This window comes from Homo sapiens, chromosome 1 (genome assembly GCF_000001405.40).
Source record: "Homo sapiens chromosome 1, GRCh38.p14 Primary Assembly".
Lineage (NCBI taxonomy): Eukaryota > Metazoa > Chordata > Mammalia > Primates > Hominidae > Homo > Homo sapiens.
This window is the reverse complement of record NC_000001.11, coordinates 112,430,161-112,448,754: the sequence shown is the minus strand read 5'-3', so window position 1 is coordinate 112,448,754 and position 18,594 is coordinate 112,430,161. Positions and strand designations below refer to the sequence as shown.

The following is an 18,594-nucleotide window of genomic DNA, read 5'->3' as shown; positions in this document are numbered from 1 at the left end:
ATACTTATAAAGCACTATGTATTAGACATTGTTTTAAATATTTATAGTCAGATTAACTTGTTTAAAATTTACAACCCTGTAAGGTAGTGCTATCATCTCGATTTTGCTGATGAGAAAACTATTCCTGGTTACTCATCTAGCAAGCTGTCTGAATTGGGATTTAAACCCAGGCAACCTGGCCCCGAAGTCTGTGTCCTTAACCTCTGTGCTTACTGACTCTGCTTATATCTGCTTATGAATGCTTATATTACCAGCAGGTACATCTTATTTTTTTCCGTGTTATGGTACTAGCATTTCTAAAACATGTTAAGTATGATAATTTTATGAGTTTATATATTTAGAGACCTAACAAAATGCCAGCAGATATATAAAGTGTGCAAAATATAAGCAGGATCACATTACAATCTAGGACTACTTGTGACCTGTACATATGAACCATTACTCAGTTGTTGATGGGTCAAGGAGGATGGAGGCACCTCATAACCAGACATGCAGACAAAACCTCTTCCACCTGCTGCCAAATTCCACCCCCTCTTCTTGTCTCTGGTTGTTACTTTCCATTCTCTTTTCTGTCTCTTTCAAGGCTTGATGAGCCTTGGGGATGAGCATGTAAGAAAGGGATGCAAGCTGGTGCCTGGAGTCTGGTCAAGGACGTTAGCCCTGGGTACCCAGTTGGGAGTATAAGGATCAGGAAGTGGGTGGAAAGATATTCCTAGGCTTCCCTCTTTCCTTATCTCTGTAGGAAGAGCTTGAAGAACTCCACATGAGCATCATACATTACATGTACATTACTTTTTACTTATTACACAGATATTTAAAAGTTTCTTGAGATATTTTACAATGAAAAATGAAGTGTTAACACAGGGTTGAAGAAACTAAAAAGTCACAGCAAAGTACTATATAATTTAAGCTTTCAAATTAAATCTGGTTATGAAAACTACTATTATTTATCCATTTTAAAAAACTAATCAGTAGTCATGTTTTCTTAGCACTGCCATCCACAAATAGGAGCCTGTTTAAAAAAAAGGGAAATTTGCAATTCATTGGCTATGCTTTAATTTAAAGGAAACTTTAAGAAAATAAAGCAAACATGGGTTTTTTTTTTAACACAGAAGTATTTCAGTGCTGAAAATCTGAAGACTTCTTCTTCATTGACTGTCCAATTTAGGCCCCAGGAATCACTTAGCCTTATGGTAAAATTTTACGTTCTTATCAGCTGGCAAATGTTCAAAGCAGTTAGAAATTCTGGGTTTTACTTCTGGCTTGACTGCAGCCATCTTACTTTATGACATTACTGGAGTATTTGGATGTTATTTGTATACTGGAAATATGAAGAGAGAAATCCATTTCTTTAAGTTACTAATAACTATCTTTCTAGCCTTATGGTGTGTTGTGTGTGTGTGTGTGAATTAAAAGTGGGGGAGGTATAAAACACAGAGTCTAAGATGAAACTCTACTTTTTTTTTTTTTTTTTTTTTTTTTAGATGGAGTCTCGCTCTGTCGCCCAGGCTGGAGAGCAGTGGCACAATCTTGGCTCACTGCAAGCTCCACCTCTTGGGTTCACGCCATTCTCCTGCCTCAGCCTCCCAAGTAGCTGGGACTACAGGTGCCCACCACCACGCCCGGCTAATTTTTGTATTTTTTAATAGAGACGGGGTTTCACCATGTTAGCCAGGATGGTCTCGATCTCCCGACCTCGTGATCCACCCGCCTTGGCCTCCCAAAGTGCTGGGATTACAGGCGTGAGCCACTGCGCCTGGCTGAAACCCTACTTTTTTCAGCTCCAAGTTAAAAAGGAAATTCACAGTAAAATTTCAAAATAACCTCCAGTCCATTTAGGATGGAGAAAGAAAAGATCAGCTCCAGAACCAGCCATTCTTCTTCTTATTTTAAAACATGGTGAATAGCCGGCCGCAGCATCTCATGTCTGTAATCCCAGCACTTTGGGAGGCAGAGGCAGGAGAATCACTTGAGCCCAGGAGTTTAAGACCAAACTGGGCAAAATAGGGAGACCTTGTCTCTACAAAAAACAAAAAATTAGCTGGGCATGACGGCATGTGCCTGTAGCCCCAGCTACTTGGGAGGCTGAAGCAGGAGGATTGGTTGAGCCTAGGATCTAGGCTGCTATGAGCTCTGATTATACCACTACATTCCAGCCTGGTTAACAGAAGAAGAACCTGTTTCTAAAAATACATAAATAAATAAAACATACTGAAAGTAAAACCAAAAAGCTAGTTGTATTTTAAAAGCAACAGTGCCAAACAACATGGGACTCATCAATGTTTCCCTTTTACCATGTTTCTTTAAATTCAGCTATAAAAACCTGAAATTGATTACCTGTAACTCACTGAAAGTATCAAATTTTTTTTTTCTTTTTTCTTTTTTGTTTGAGACAGGGTCTGGCTCTGTCAACCAGGCTGCAGTGTAATGGTGTGATCACAGCTCACTGCAGCCTTGACCTCCTGGGCTCAAGTGATCCTTCCACCTCAGCCTCTTGAGTAGCTGGGACTAAAGGCACATACCACCTCACCCAGCTATGTTGTTTTTTTTTTTTTTTCCACTTTTTTAGGCCATGTTTAGAAAAATAGAAAAGTTTAGAAAAAGAAGCAAAAGAAAAAATAATCTCTTTATGCAGCTGAAATACTACTTTTCTAACTGTCACATTTCTTATTCATGATAGCCATTTCAGTATGGTTAGTGATGGTAAAGGAATAACTATTGGCACTGTTGGTTTAGTTAGGGCAAAAAGGAAATAGAAAAAGTAAACCCAAATACTTTTAATAACCTTTTCCTTTTCAGAGCACCATGGAGAAAGTGGGATGGAGGAGTAGGAGCTGGGACTACAATTCATGACCTTGACATCAGATCTGCTGAGAAGCTGTCTCTCTGGTTTGAGTAGTATATAGTTAACTAATCCCCAAAATATGACTTTTAAAACCCACACTGTGATTACCCTGTATAATTAATAAGCACCACAGAGTTATGAGTAATAGACAAAGAGCTTCTTTGGTGAGGTCTCAGCCTGAGAACAGTTGTTTGGCTGTCTGCTTTCTCCTGTAGTACTTCATAGTAATTCCATAATCACTTGCATAGTAATTACAAGTTGTATAATACAGACGGCTTTGCCTGTAAAGGAAAAGGATCTGTGGAATAACCTCAAGAAGACTCCTTGTCAGAGAGCGATTCTCTTAAGTACATTCTAATATGGGGTCAAATATAGGAAAGGTGAATTCAAAGTCTATATTTATTATATCAAACACTGGACTGGAACATGGGAGACAGAACATGGTATTTTTCAATCAACTTAATGATTCAGTCAGGTGAACTATATGGATTACAGGTTTAACAGTATAAATAATAAAAAAACCCCAAAACAGATATTAAGATTTGAAGAATGAAGAGATTTAATGGGGGTGTGTAATGATGATCTATTCCTGCATACCAATCACCCCCAAAGTAGGCAGCCTAAATAATAAACATTAAAAAAAAATCTCACAGTTTTGGAGGGTCAGGAATCTGGGAGGGGCTTAGCTGGGTGGTTCTGGCTCAGGGTCTCATGAGGTTGCAATCAAACTGTTGGTCAGGGCTGTAGTCATCTGAAGCCATGACTGGGACTGATGGACCCACTTCCATGCTTACTTACTCACATGACTGTTGGCGTAGGCCTTGGCTCCTTACAAGTGCCAGCTTCCCACACAGCAAGTGACCCTCAGCCCCATAAAAGAGACAGAGACCAAGATGGAAGTCCCAATGTCTTTTATAACCTAATCTTGGAAGTGACACACCATCATTTCTGATGTATTCTATCAGTCACACAGACCAACTCTGGTAAATTTGGGGGCAGACTACCCAAGGGTGTGAATATCATGGGGTAGAGATCACTGGGAGCCATCTTGGAGGCTGGCTACAAGGTCAATGACTAGATGTGCTACCACTATCATTTATATCTCGGGTCAAAATTTAAAGACCAAACACCTATATTCAAAACTATCAAAGCTGAGTTGTAATATATTAATGATATTTCAGTTATTTTATAAGAAATTTTAAATGATATTAGAGTTTGGAGGGGGTTTAGTAATAAAAATAAAGTAAATTCAATTTTATTATTTTTAATTCAATAACAACACACACATTAACTGAACAGAAATTCCTACATTGTCAGAAAACATGATGGTCTTTAATTTCAGACAGCAGAAAAATAACTGGCTGGTTAGACAGATTCAATAACAGAGGGTATTATCACAGCAGCCAGAGCACACTAGTCATCTATTACTCATTTATTTTTACTATCACAGGCTGAATGAAACACACCACTACTGAAAGCTTAAAATCAAATCACATAATCTTCTTAGAGTCGGCCATACTTGCTCTCCAAAAGTTTCAGCTGTGTTATTCCTAACTTCAAAAGGAAATATGAAGTAGTCACCTCCTCTCCACTTCCCAGTACAGTGTGTGTGTATATTCCAATCTTAAAGTAGGAAATCAATTTCTTTTTATTCTTTGGCACCAACATGAAAAATCGTTCAAAATCCAATGGTGAAGAATTAAGGCTCATTTAATTGGAAGTTTATATTCAACTATAAGGTTTTATTTTCAAGACTCAGGCTGGTACCATAACTGGATTAGGATGTATTTTTGCCACTAAAGAGACAATTCTGAAGTGATATTTTAAAAAGTAATCAGCAATGTGAACATCATAGGTCTTCAAAGAAATCTGAATACTTCATGCCAGGGACCAGAACAACAATATGATTCCAAGTATTTGGTTAATGCTACCAAAAGCATGTTAAAAGGAATCATTATCACATGCACACTGAATCTATTTACTGTCAAGTAATTCACACTATAGATAAACTATAAGTAGTTTATAGCAACCTGAGCAACTGGAAATAAAGCAAACATTCTGGATAAAGATGACAACAATAAGAAAACCCTTGTTCTGGAAGTTCCTTTATAATTGCTGAACAAGAACTAGATTTTAATGTTTGATACTAATAAAAGAGCTGATTTAGCCTCATTTAAATTAAACTTTATTTTTTGGAAAATAGTACAAAAATTAAACATGACAGTAAAGAGAGAAAATTGTCATGATTTAAAAATATTTCAGGCCAGGTGCAGTGGCTCACAGCTATAATACCAGCACTTTGGGAGGCCAAGGCAGGCAGATCACTTGAGGTCAGGAGTTCAAGAACAGCCTGGCCAATGTGGTGCAACCCCATCTCTACTGAAAATACAAAAATTAGCCAGGTGTGGTGACTCACACCTGTAATCCCAGCACTTTGGGAGGCCAAGGTGGGCAGATGACTTCAGGTGAGGAGTTCAAGACCAGCCTGGCCAACATGGTGAAACCCCATTTCTACTAAAAATACAAAAATTAGCTGGGCATGGTGGCACACGCCTGTAATCCCAGATACTCAGGAGGCTGAGGCACGAGAATCACTTGAACCTGGGAGGGAAAGGTTGCAGTGAGCCAAGATCGCACCACTGCACTCCAGCCTCGGTGATAGAGTGAGACTCTGTCTCAAAAATATTTTAACTAACTGTGAAATAGAATGAACTTCAAATATTCCCTCTGGAGTCAACCTGCAACCATAAATATTTATAAAAGCAATTATTTACATAAGGACAGATGACCATTTATTATTATTTGACTACAGTGTACTAAATTCTATTCAAGACTAAAAATAGTTTAGTATAAATAGGTATAAGTGTGGCACTTCTAGCCCCCAGGCTGCTTGCTGATAGCATAAGAATATGAGTAAACAGGCTGGGCGCAGTGGCTCATGTCTGTAATACCAGCACTTTGAGAGGCCGAGGCAGGTGATCACCTGAGGTCAGAAGTTCGAGAGCAGCCTGGCCAACATGGCGAAACCCCGTCTCTACTAAAAATACAAAAATTAGCTGGGTGTGGTGGTGGGCGCCTGTAATCCCAGCTACTTGGGAGGCTGAGGCAGGAGAATTGCTTGAACATGGGAGGCGGAGGTTATAGTGAGCTGAGATTGCTCCACTGCACTCCAGCCTGGGCGACAGAGCGAGACTCTCTTAAAAGAAAAAAAAAAAGAATATGAGTAACAGAATAATGTAGCTGTTTCAACATTCAAATTCCAGAGTCCTGTGAAATGTTCTAATGAAACTGAAATCAAATGTGTTGAGATTTTTTTTTCTTTTTGTTCTTACTTGTTCAGTGTAGGTAGGTGGTTGAAACAAATTATATGTACATTCTGGACTGAGTCCACAAGAATAACTTTTTGAGGTGGGGAAGAAAATGTGTTTAGGAATTCAACAAGTACTGAACAGATTAATGAACTGATAAAGGGAGAATGCTCTGAATATAAATTAAGAATTTTAAAGTATAATTTAAAAATAATTTATTTTTGGCCGAGGCGGGAAGATCACCTGAAGTCAGGAGTTTGAGACCAGTCTGGCCAACATGGTGAAACTCTGTTTCTACTAAAAATATAAAAATTAGCCAGGCATGGCGGCACATGCCTGTAGTCCCCACTTGGGAGGCTGAGGCAGGAGAATTGCTTGAACCTGGGAGGCAGAGGCTGCAGTGAGCCGAGATCGCGCCACTGCACTCCAGCCTGGGTGACAGAGTGAGACACTGTCTCAAAACAAAACAAAACAAAAAACAAAAAACATTATTTTTTAGAGCACTTTTGGGTTCACTGCAAAATGCAGCAGCAGGTACAGAGATCTCTCATATATCCCCTGCCCCACACAGGCACAGCCGCCCCCATTATCAGTATCATCACCAAAGTGGTACATTTGTTCCAGTTGAAGAAAGTATTATTTTAAATGATACATTAGATCCTAATCTCTTTTTTCGGGAGACCGTACATTTCTGAAAATACAATGGGAAGATGCATACCTTATACCATATACAAAAATAAAAATGCATCACAGACCTAAAGAGAAAACTGCAATAGGGAAAAGCATATGAAGAAGTGCCTAAGTCATTAGGGATCAGGGAGGTGTAAGTTAAAAAAATAAAAAGATACCACTATACAGCCACTAGAATGGCTAATATGACAGACTGACAACATCAAATGTTGGAAGGAATGTAGAGTAAGTAGAACACTCACACATTGCTAGTGAGAGTATAAAACAGTACAGTTACTTTGGAAACTGATCTGGAAATTTCTCATAAAGTTAGACAAATCCTACCTGTAATTCTACTTGTAAGTATTAAATATTAATCCAAAAGATATGAAAACACATTTCTACAAGAGTTTTATACAATAAAGCTGCTATAGCAGCTTTATTCGTAATAGCCCCAAACTAGAAATAATCAGATATCAATCAACAGGAGAATAAACAGAATGTGGTGCATTTATAAAATGGAATACTAGACAGCAATAAAAAGGAACAAAGTGCTGATACATACAGTGACACTGATGAACCTGAACATCATACTGAACAAAAAAAAGAGGCCAGGCATAAAAGAGTATGTTCTGTGTGACTTTGTTTAGATGAAGTTGTGGAATAAACAAAACCGAACTATGGTGAACAAAAAATCAGAAGAGTGGTTTCCTCTGGGGACAGGGGGATGATTGACTGGGAAGGGGCACAAGATCCTGGTGTGATAAGAATGTTCTGTGTCTTGATAGGAGTGTGGGTTATGTGGATGTGTGCATCTGTAAAAACACATTGAATTGAAATGTTTAAGATCTGTGCATTTCACTATATCCAAATTATACCTCCAGTTAAACAATGTAAAATGTAAATATATATAATAAAAGTTATAAGGAAACAAGTTATATGTAGTATATGTTTTACATACAGTATTTCCAAAACAGATAGGAAGGTCAAATCAAAGTATTTTTAACAATGACAGCAAAAACAACAGAGACGTTAACACTCGAGCGTTTATTGCCTGCGAAACAGTGTGCTTTTTACATATCTAATCTATTCCTAACAGCATTCCTCATGAAGTAAACATCACTATTATCTTCATTTTATAGAAAAACTGAATATCAAACACGTGACTTTCCCAAGGTCACAAAGCTAATTAAGTAGTGAAGAACAATAAGTGTTATATATAGTTAAGTGCTGACTATGTTAGCTGATTGAGTAATACAGAAATACATCCCCAGGACTTTGTAGGAATGAATTTCAATTTAGTAGGTCTTGATCAGTAACTTAAAAATGAAACAAAACAGAATAAAAAACACTGCAGAGCACTGAATGTTAGAAGATGCATTTTGAGGAACTTTACTTCTAGCATAAGAATATAGGTGTGTACCCTGGGTCACAATGCAAAGTCTACTTTTTAATATGTGTTACTGTCCAAAAAGTTTGAGAAACACTAGAATGGAATGAAGAATGCAAGAAATCTGAATCCTGAATCTATCATTTTAAACAATTTAAGCTATGATAAACATGCAAATTCTAACAGAAATGATAAGTAATCGGTATTATTGTTTATTTTAAACTAACTAATGTTATAAAGTCGATAAACCAGGAGAGGTTTGGTCTAACATCAAATATACAAAATGTAACAAAAAATAAACAACACAACACATCTCTGTGTTATCAGGGTTAAACAACCAAAATACTATTGGAGAAATCTGGGAAAGTTTTCTGGACTTGTGCATGATTTGCAGGGCCCAGGCTCTGAATGGTTTGAATACTTAATGTTTGCTGGGTACTGTGTATTATAAGCAACGTGAGTAATGACATGGGAACAGAGATGTGACTATGTAAGATGTAGTCCACTGCCCTCAAGGAGCTTAAAATTTGCTAGACAAGTATAAGGCCTAACATCAGCAATGAACAAATAGCCTCTCTGTTTAAATGTTTTCTAAACAATATCATTAATGTTTAGAGGAACACCAAGTACAATTTATTTGAGATTGGAATTTTCTAAGACTTAGACTTTACATTCACAAGGAATAGGAAGGAAAAGGCCAACCCTGGAAGTGGGTGGGTTCTGGCAGATAAATGGAGCAATCGGCAATCTAATGAATTACAGGAAACACCATGAGGTTGGCAGGGTTCGGGTAGGGGGCCCACACAACCCAAAACTGTCTCTGAAGTATTACACAGTGAAACCCAGCCTACAGACTATAGCTGTGTGTGATACTTAAAGTTAACCCTATGAACTTGAAAAACCTTTATTGGAGATGTGCTGGGCTCTTTCACTCACCATTAACAGACAGTGCCGAAAACTTCAAGGTTAATATATTTTAAAAGAGCTCAGTAAACAAGATGTGAAAGGATATCTTCATTTCCTCTAGTTAAGGTATTCTATGGGAGAGAGATCTGAAGCTGCGTAACTGTGAGATGGGTCTTAACTCTAAAAATTTATTTGAAGCAAGTTTCTTAAATTATAAACAGACTGATATTACACAGAAACATGCCAAGAAACAAGCTGCTCAAAAGTGAGGTCCTGGGAAGAGGGCCTTATCTTGGTTAAGAAGTAGAAACTATTCATATTTAGAAGTTATCAAGTAACAGGAATAAGAAATTTGTGGGGGAAGTGGAGGTGGGGTGTGAAAAGAGACAGGGCAGAATGAAAAAGGGGACAGTAATACTTTAAGACCCCTACCATGGTGAGAGCAGGATGCCAGGGCAGGCAAACAGAAGCAAGGACAGTGTAATCATACATCCTAATGACAGAAGGTGGAATAGAATATCTAAGTAACATATTAAGATAAAGAACAAGCCCTATGTCACAAGTCGGCAGATGGAAAGGCAGCAATTTCGGCTGTCACTGTAGCCTTACGTAGAAAGAAGTAGCTAGCTAGTTATTCGGTTTCAACCAGCAGTCAAATAGATAGATTGGGACTCAAATTAAGGAAGGATCATTCTTCTCTAGAGAACAAAATGGGGAGAGAGTAAAAACGTCAAGACTAAAAAGTAAAAGGTGGGCTATCATTGCATTGCAGGGTGTTTAGTGATAATTTTGAATACAACCTGGCAATGGTCATCACTGCAGTAAGGCACAAATATATGGTGAAATTGTGCATGCTAAAGGTGACCACTGCAACTGTTAGGTCCAAGTAATCCCAACCTAAGACTGCCTTTATCTTCTGTTCATAACAGAAGTATACAACAAACCCACAGCCAACATCATACTGAATATGCAAAAGCTGGAAGCATTCCCCTTGAAAGCTGGCAAAAGGTAAGGATGCCCTCTCTCACCACTCCTATTGGAAGTCCTGGCCAGGGCAATCAGGCAAGAGAAATAAATAAAGGGCATCCAAATAAGAAAAGAGGAAGTCAAACTATTCCTGTTTGCAGATGACATGATTCTATATCTAGAATAGATATAGAAATATAGAATACAGAAAAACCCCATGGTCTCAGCCCAAAAATTCCTTCAGCTGATAAACAACTTTAGCAAAGTCTAGGATACAAAATCAACATACAAAAATCACTAGCATTCCTACACACCTACAACAGCCAGGCTGAGAGCCAAATCAGGAACGCAATCCCATTCACAGTCGCCACACATAGAATAAAATAGCTAGGAATACAACTAACCAGGGAGGTGAAAGATCTCTACAATGAGAATTACAAAACACTGCTCAAAAAAATCAGAGATGACACAAACAAATGGAAAAACACTCCATGCTCATGAACTAGTAGAATCAATATCATTAAAATGTCCTTACACCACATACAAAAATTAACTCAAGATGGATTACAGACTTAAATGTAAAACCCAAAAACTATAAAAACCCTGGAAGACAACCTAGACAATACCATTCTGGACACGGGAACTGGCAAAGATTTCATGACAAAGACACCAAATGCAATTGCAACAGAAGCAAAAATTGATAAATGGGATCTAATTACTTAAGGGCTTCTGCACAGCAAAAGAAACTATCAACAGAGTAAACAGACAACGTACAGAATGAGAGAAAATATTTGCAAACTATGCATCTGACAAACGTCTAATATCCAGCATCTATAAGGAAGGAACTCGGCCGGGTATGGTGGCTCACACCTGCAATCCCAGGACTTTGGGAGGCTGAGGCAGGCGGATCACAAGCTCAGGAGATCGAGACCATCCTGGCTAACATGGTAAAACCCTGTCTCTACTAAAAATACAAAAAATTAGCTGGGTGTGCTGGTGGGCACCTGTAGTCCCAGCTACTTGGGAGGCTGAGGCAGGAGAATCACTTGAACCCAGGAGGCAGAGGTTGCAGTGAGCCAAGATGGCACCACTGCACTCCAGCCTGGGTGACAGAGTGAGACTCCGTCTCAAAACAAAAACAAACAAAAAAAAACAAAGGAACTCAAACAACTTTACAAGAAAAAAAACCAAGCAATTCTATTAAAAAGTGGGCAAAGGACATGAATAGACACTTTTCAACAGAAAACATACATGTGGCCAACAAGCATATTTTAAAATGCTCAATATCACTGATCATTAGAGAAATGCAAATCAAAACCACAATGAGATACCATCTCATACCAGTCAGAATGGCTATTATTAAAAAGTCAAAAAATAACAAATGTTGGTGAGGTTGCTGAGAAAAGGGAACACTTATACACTATTAGTGGGAGTGTAAACTGGTTCAACCATTGTGGAAAGTAGTCTGGCAATTCCTCAAAGACCTAAAAACAGAACTACCAGTAATCCCATTACTCAATATATACCCAAAGGAATATAAGTCATTCTACCATAAAGACATGCACGTGAATATCCACTGCAGCACTATTCTCAATAGCAAAGACACAATCAACCTAAGTGCCTACAGTGGTAGACTGAATAAAGAAAATGTGGTACATATACACCATGGAATACTACACAGCCATAAAAAAGAATGAGATCATGTCCTTTGCAGAAACATGGTTGGAGCTAGAAGCCATCATCCTTACCAAATGCAGGAACCAAATACCACACGTTCTCACTTATAAGCTGGAGCTAAATGATAAGAACACATGGACATCAAGAGAGGAACGACAGACACTGGGGACTATTTGACAGTGGAGGGTGGGATGAGGGAGAAGACCAGAAAAAATAACTACAGGGTACTAGGGGTGATGAAATAATCTGTACAACAACCCCCCATGACATTAGTTTACCTACATAATAAACCTGCATATGTACCCCTGAACTTAAAATAAAAGTTAAAAAAAAAAAAGTGTACTAAAGGGAGCCAGGCACAGTGGCTCGTGCCTATAATTCCAGCTACTTGGCAGGCTGAAGGAGATCACTTGAGGCCAGACGTGTGAGACCAGCCTGGGCAACACAGTGAGACCTGTCTCTAAGAAAAAAAAGAAGTGTGCTAAAGAGGATTGGGATATGGATGGATAAGAAGAACAGGAGTGATCTTTGGTGACATGAGCTCTTCTTTTCATTCTGAAGGATGGCAACACCATATGGAAACTTTAAATGTCACCAGATTAGAATAACCAAGACCCTCTTTTCCATTTTAATCCCATAAGGAATAGGAAAACTGGCTCTATTCTAGGCCTCTAAGACTCTGTTTTGGCACCTTCCTCCTTTAATGATTTCTAGGTCTGGGGTGAAGATGTCAGTCATTTGTCCTATGACAGATATTCACAGAAAAGGATGGACAAGAGCCTGAAAAAGACATTTTAAAGGTTAAAGAACTCAAAGTTACCACTTTGGAAAGTAAACAGACAAAGGGGGATGATAAAGATTTTGTGAAAGCCAAACAAACAAACAAACAAACAAGCAACAATAAAACAGGACAAAAAAAAAAGCAAATCTCAAAAAAAAAAAAAAAATCACAGGAGAAATGGAGGATCAGTCGATACATTCTAAAAGATAGAGAATCTGTGTAATTTAGACAGATGACCATAAAGGTTCTTAGCTAAAAAGTCTGGGAAATAATATTTTTGTATGTATCCAGATGAAGAAAGACAAGCTAATTTTTTTCATACTGAACTATTTTATCTGATACTGAAAGTTCCCCTTACTGACCAGTCAGGGAATGCAGATAATCACACCCCAATTTGATAGGAAAGGATACCAAGATTAAATGTCAGTTGAAAATTAAGAAGTAATAGGAAATAATTTCCAAACGATTTTTTCTTTAGATGAATACAAAATAGTGAGCAAAAGTACATATTCCAATTATGTGGTATCCTTCACTACCAATAAAGAACGAACACAATGCAATGATTTCCTGCCTGAAGAACAAATTGTTCCTTCTTAGTACGGGGTAAGATGTAAATAATGTCACTGAATGGAAATTATCAACAACAGTAAAAGTTATGAAATTATATTACTAAAGTTAAGTTTCTTTTCTGAGAAATATGAATTAATAATTAGCAATCTATTTTGAGCCTTGAATACATTCAAGGTAGACTTACAGGGCCTGAAATCATTCTCCTGTATGACAAATACTTATGAAGTACTTACTTGGGTCCAGATACCTGGGATATAGTGGTAAATAAGATTAAGGACCTGCCCCCTGAGGAGCTTACATTTAGTGAAAAAAATAATAATAATAAACATAAAGAAAGTAAACAAATCCCTATAATCTGTGATGCTTATCAGCACAAATATATAAATTCTCCTATTATCACTAATCTAGCGTAGACAACAGAAAAAGAGAAACCATGTTACGTATGATTCAATTCTATGAACATTTATTGGGTACACTTCTTTTTTTTTTTTTTTTTTTTTGAGACAGAGTCTTGCTCTGCTGCCCAGGCTGGAGTGCAATGGTGTGATCTCGGCTTGCTACAATCTCTGCCTCCTGGGTTCAAGTGATTCTCCTGCCTCAGCCTCCAGAGTAGCTGGGATTACAGGTGCGTGCCACCATGTGTGGCTAATTTTTATATTTTTAGTAGAGATGGGGTTTTGCCATGTTGGCCAAGCTAGTCTCGAACTCCTGACCTCAGATGATCCACCCGCCTCGGCCTCCCAAAGTGCTGGGATTACCAGCATGAGCCACTGCACCCAGCCTGGACATACTTTTTATGTGAAGGGTTCTATGTGTGAAGAAGAAGGAAAGGAAAACAGTATTCCAAACAAGGGAACAGTTCAAGCAAGGTTATGGAAGAATGGAAATGCGTAATTTGGCTACAGAGGTCAGATTTATAGCTAGTAGACTGGCAGGAAATGAGACTGGGTTCCAGCCAGTCTGTAAATGTCTTGAATGTAATGTCTTTAAGCTTAATTTTTTAGGCAGCAAGGAGTCACAAGAAGTTTTTAAAGAGAAAAACAAGATCAACTTGATACTAATGATGGTTAGGTTACAAATCTAGGATATAAGATGAGTAGCAGAGTGTCAGGTAGGAGGCTAGATCCAGAGACCATTTGGATCTAAAGTCAAAATATAAGAGGGAGAGAAAAACCACATTTAAGGGGTACTCTGGAGAAGAGCCAACAGGTTTTAGCACCTGATTAGACACAAAGAGGGAAGACACACAGATACTTTGAAGTATTTAGGTTGGGTGAGTGGATGGTTGGTGATGCCATTAACCAAAACAGAGAACAAAGGCAGAACACACAGGCTTTTAGGGAAGGATGCTGAGACTGTGATACGGGATATTTAGGTGCACAAGTCAAAAAGGCACTTGGATATATGGGTCTAGGTATAAGAGAATAACAAATCTGGGTGTTAACAACCCATAGAAACCAATAAAACTGATGAAATCACCCACTGAGGAAGAGAGTAAATAGGTTACGATGTGACAGGGCTAAGAACAAAGTATCAGGAAATATCTTTTTATGTATTATTCATTCAGCTAACATATTCTATGTACCACTGTGCAATGCTAGGTGTAGACACGAAGTCACACAGGAGGCCAGGCATGGTGGCCTTTGGGAGGCCAAGGCGGAAAGACTGCCTGAGCCCAGGAGTTCGGGACTAGCCTGGGCAACATGGCAAGACCCCGTCTCTTTAAAAAAAAAAAAAGCCACAAAGGAGACTCAGTAAAATAAGTGTATATTATGGAGTATGACACAGCAGATAGAAGCAACAGATCATGTGCAGTCATGGCAACATGATGGACTGCAAAGGCATAGTAATTATAAAAAGTAAGAAACAGAACAAGCTAGATAGCACAATGCCATTTATGCAAATTGATACACACAAGGCAATACATTTTACAAGAATATATACAAATAAAAAATGTATTAAGAATAGTTGCTTATGGAGACCAAGAAGGGAATGGGAGGAGAAACTGAGGATACAGGGAATTTTATTATTATTATGTTGGTTTGTTTTTTGAGATGGAGTCTTGCTCTGTCGCCCGAGCTGCAGTGCAGTGGCACAATCTTGGCTCACTGCAACCTGTGCCTCCCGGGTTTAAGCCATTCTCCTGCCTCAGCCTCCTGAGTAGTGGGATTACAGGCATGCACCATTGTGCCTGGTTAATTGTTGTATTTTAGTAGAGACAGGGTTTTGCCATTTTGGCCAGGCTGGTCTCAAACTCCTGACCTCAAGTAATCCACCCACCTTGGCCTCCCAAAGTGCTGGGATTACAGGCGTCAGCCACCGCGCCCAGCCACGGGGAATTTTAAAACAAAACGCACGCATGCACGCACATACACACACACACACACCCCCACACAAAAATGAATAATAACATTTTGGCTTCTACCCTTTAGGATCCTAAAAGGCTATAGGGCAAGAGACAATGCTATTTCAATACAGTTATGAAAAGTGCTATAGTAGATTTTGAACAGTATGTGATGGGAGCTACAGGAAGGGACATTTTATCTAGTCACAGAAGATATCAGATTTAAGAGGAATATGGAAGAAAAAAACACAAAGGAGTCTGAGAAGGACCAGGACAAGAATATCACAGAAGCCAAGGAAAGAAGTTTAACAAGGAGGATGGTCAACACGGTTGAATGCTGAGTTAGGTCATCTAATTAAAGAGGCCATTAGCGGTTACTTTTAACTTCAAAACGTAAAATTTCATTAGAGTAGTAGAAACAAAAGGCAAATGAGTAATGAGGAATGAGAAATATTTAATTAAATATTTCAGTGTAAAGAGAGAAAGAGAACTAGGGTGGTAACTTAGAAGGATGGCAAGATTGAGAAGGTTTTTTTTTTTTTTTTAAATATAGAATGGAAAGTTTCAAACAGGCTTTAGCCAAAAATAAGTAGTAGTATTAAAAGAAGAAACTGGGGCACTAAGCGAGAAGGCAAGGTGTAACTGATGGAGTATGGTCATGAAGAAACAGGGTAAAGATAAGATCAAGAGTACAAGTGGCATTACTCTTAGAATAGGGTGGTATAAGAAAAGAAGAATGTCTTATTAAATGGATGAAAAAAATCTCTAGACATTTCCAATCAGTAAGAAGAGAGACTTAATAATAATACAATAATATGCTCATTTCTACCAATGAATCCAGTTTCCTTGACATCCCATTGTGCATATTATATTTCTTACAAAATTTTTATTTTAATTCCATCATCAGTAAGTATTTTCTCATAAAAATTCAAACTATAGGCCCGGCGCGGTGGCTCACGCCTGTAATCCCAGCACTTTGGGAGGCCAAGGCAGGCGGATCATGAAGTCAGGAGATCGAGACCACGGTGAAACCCTGTCTCTACTAAAAATACAAAAAATTAGCTGGGTGTGGTGGCGGGCGCCTGTAGTCCCAGCTACTCGGGAGGCTGAGGCAGGAAAATGGTGTGAACCCGGGAGGCAGAACTTGCAGTGAGCTGAGATCATGCCACTGCACTCCAGCCTGGGTGAAAGAGTGAGACTCTGTCTCAAAAAAAAAAAAAAAAAAAAAAAAATCAAAATATATAGATAAAGCTGAAACTCTTCCTGACCGTAACCCCCTTTCACTTTCCTCCCTAAAAGTTCTTAGTATGTTAGGTATCCTTCCAGACCATTTCTTTTTCTAATTTAAGTTTTTTATTTTTTGTAGAGACAGGGTCTTGCTTTGTTTCCCAGGCTGGTCTCAAACTTCTGGCCTCAAGTGATCCTGTGTGCCCAGCCTCCATTTCCAAGAATATATATACATTTGCATGTGTGTGGTGTCTGTGTGTATAAAACCTAATTACATAGATATTATTATTGTGTAAAACTGTTTTGCAATTTGTTTTCACTGTCTGAGAGATCTGTCAGTACATAGCTTTCTTTCTCATTAAAAAAAGTATATAATATTCCATACTAAGGATGCACCAGTTTATGCAGCCATTGATGGAACTTAGTGATGAACATTTATGTTGTTTACAGTTTCCAATACTGTATTAAACAATGCTTCAATAAGCTAACTTGTGCATATGTGAGAGAACTGTTTTGTAGAATAGTTATATTACTATGCTTTTCTAACAAAACAATTTCACATAATAAAACTCCCAGTTCATTCTATAAATGCCTCCTTTCCATAAATATTTTCAGCAAACATACAAGATGGTTTTCTCCTATCTTCCAAATTATTCTTACAACTGGCTAAACTGGAATACTAAATGATATGTTTTAGTTTTAGAAGCAACCTCTTTGTCTTCCTTTGCTTCTCTTCTCTTTATGGGGACAACTAGAAATAACCCCTGATTAATCTCAAATCACAAGGCTAACACATGCAAGGAAGACACAATAAGAGGAAGTCAAAATAGGAATAAGCTATTTCCCTTTTTTATTTGTTTTAGTTACAGGCTGAATAAATGCAATGAAATTCCTCACTGCTGTAATCTTTTCTGAAGCCCCTCCGTAACTGCTGGAAAACTGTATGTTCTCTAAATAGGTACTGTTTTATAAACTGAATTTCCCCTTTCTTGAAAAATATTAAAACTACAACAACAAAACAAAACACAGAACCCACAGGAAGACATCAGTCAAACGAGAAATTTGCTTATTCTTCTGGCATCTTCATTCTTAAACCCCTAAATGCCACAATTTGTAATATGAATGATGACATGATAAAAAGTTATACAGCAAACAGCTGATGCCAGACAATAATTTTTAAGAGCTAGCTGGCCGGGAACAGTGGCTCATGCCTGTAATCCCAGCACTTTGGGAGGCAGAGGCAGGCAGATCACGAGGTCAAGAGATGGAGATAATCCTGGCCAACATGGTGAAACATGTATTTTAGTCTCTACTAACATGTATTTTAGTCTCTACTAAAAATACAAAAAAATTAGCTGGACAAGGTGGCACGCACCTGTAGTCCCAGCTATTCGGGAGGCTGAGGCGGGAGAATCACTTGAACCCAGGAGGAAGGGGTTGCAGTGAGCCGAGATCACGTCACTGCACTCCAAGCCTGGGCAACAGAGTCAGACTCTGTCTCAAAAAAAAAAAAAAAAAAAAAAAAGCTAGCTATGGCCTGGTGCGGTGGCTCACGCCTGTAATCCCAGCACTCTGGAAGGCCGAGGCGGGTGGATCACTTGAGGTCAGGAGTTCGAGACCAGCCTGGGCAAAATGGCGAAACCCCATCTCTACAAAAAAGTACAACCACAACAAATTAGATAGGTGGGTGTCGTGGTGCAAGCCTATAGTCCCAGCTACTTAAGAGGCTGAGGTGGGAAGATCACTTGAGCCCAGGAGGCGGAGGTTGCAGTGAGCTGAGATCATGCCACTGCACTCCAGCATGGGCGACAGAGTGAGACCCTGTCTCAAAAATGAAAGAGAAAAGACAAGAAAAGAAAAGAAAAGAAAAGAAAAGAAAAGAAAAGAAAAGAAAAGAAAAGAAAGAAAAGA

The 18,594-nt window shown here is 38.5% G+C and overlaps 1 protein-coding gene across 4 annotated transcripts in view, besides 1 other annotated feature; it reads right to left on the bottom strand.

Annotated features, from left to right (window-relative positions):
* The window catches only part of CTTNBP2NL (CTTNBP2 N-terminal like), a 70,078-nt gene that overhangs the window by 12,410 nt on the left and 39,074 nt on the right, over positions 1–18,594 (bottom strand). The gene's annotated exons all lie outside the window — the stretch shown is intronic.
* Positions 4,174–4,468: a silencer, noted in NCBI's record as "tiled region #6417; HepG2 Repressive non-DNase unmatched - State 23:Low". NCBI's record gives its function as "represses a minimal TATA promoter and a strong SV40 promoter by Sharpr-MPRA in HepG2 cells {active_cell/tissue: HepG2}" and the evidence as "EXISTENCE:reporter gene assay evidence [ECO:0000049][PMID:27701403]".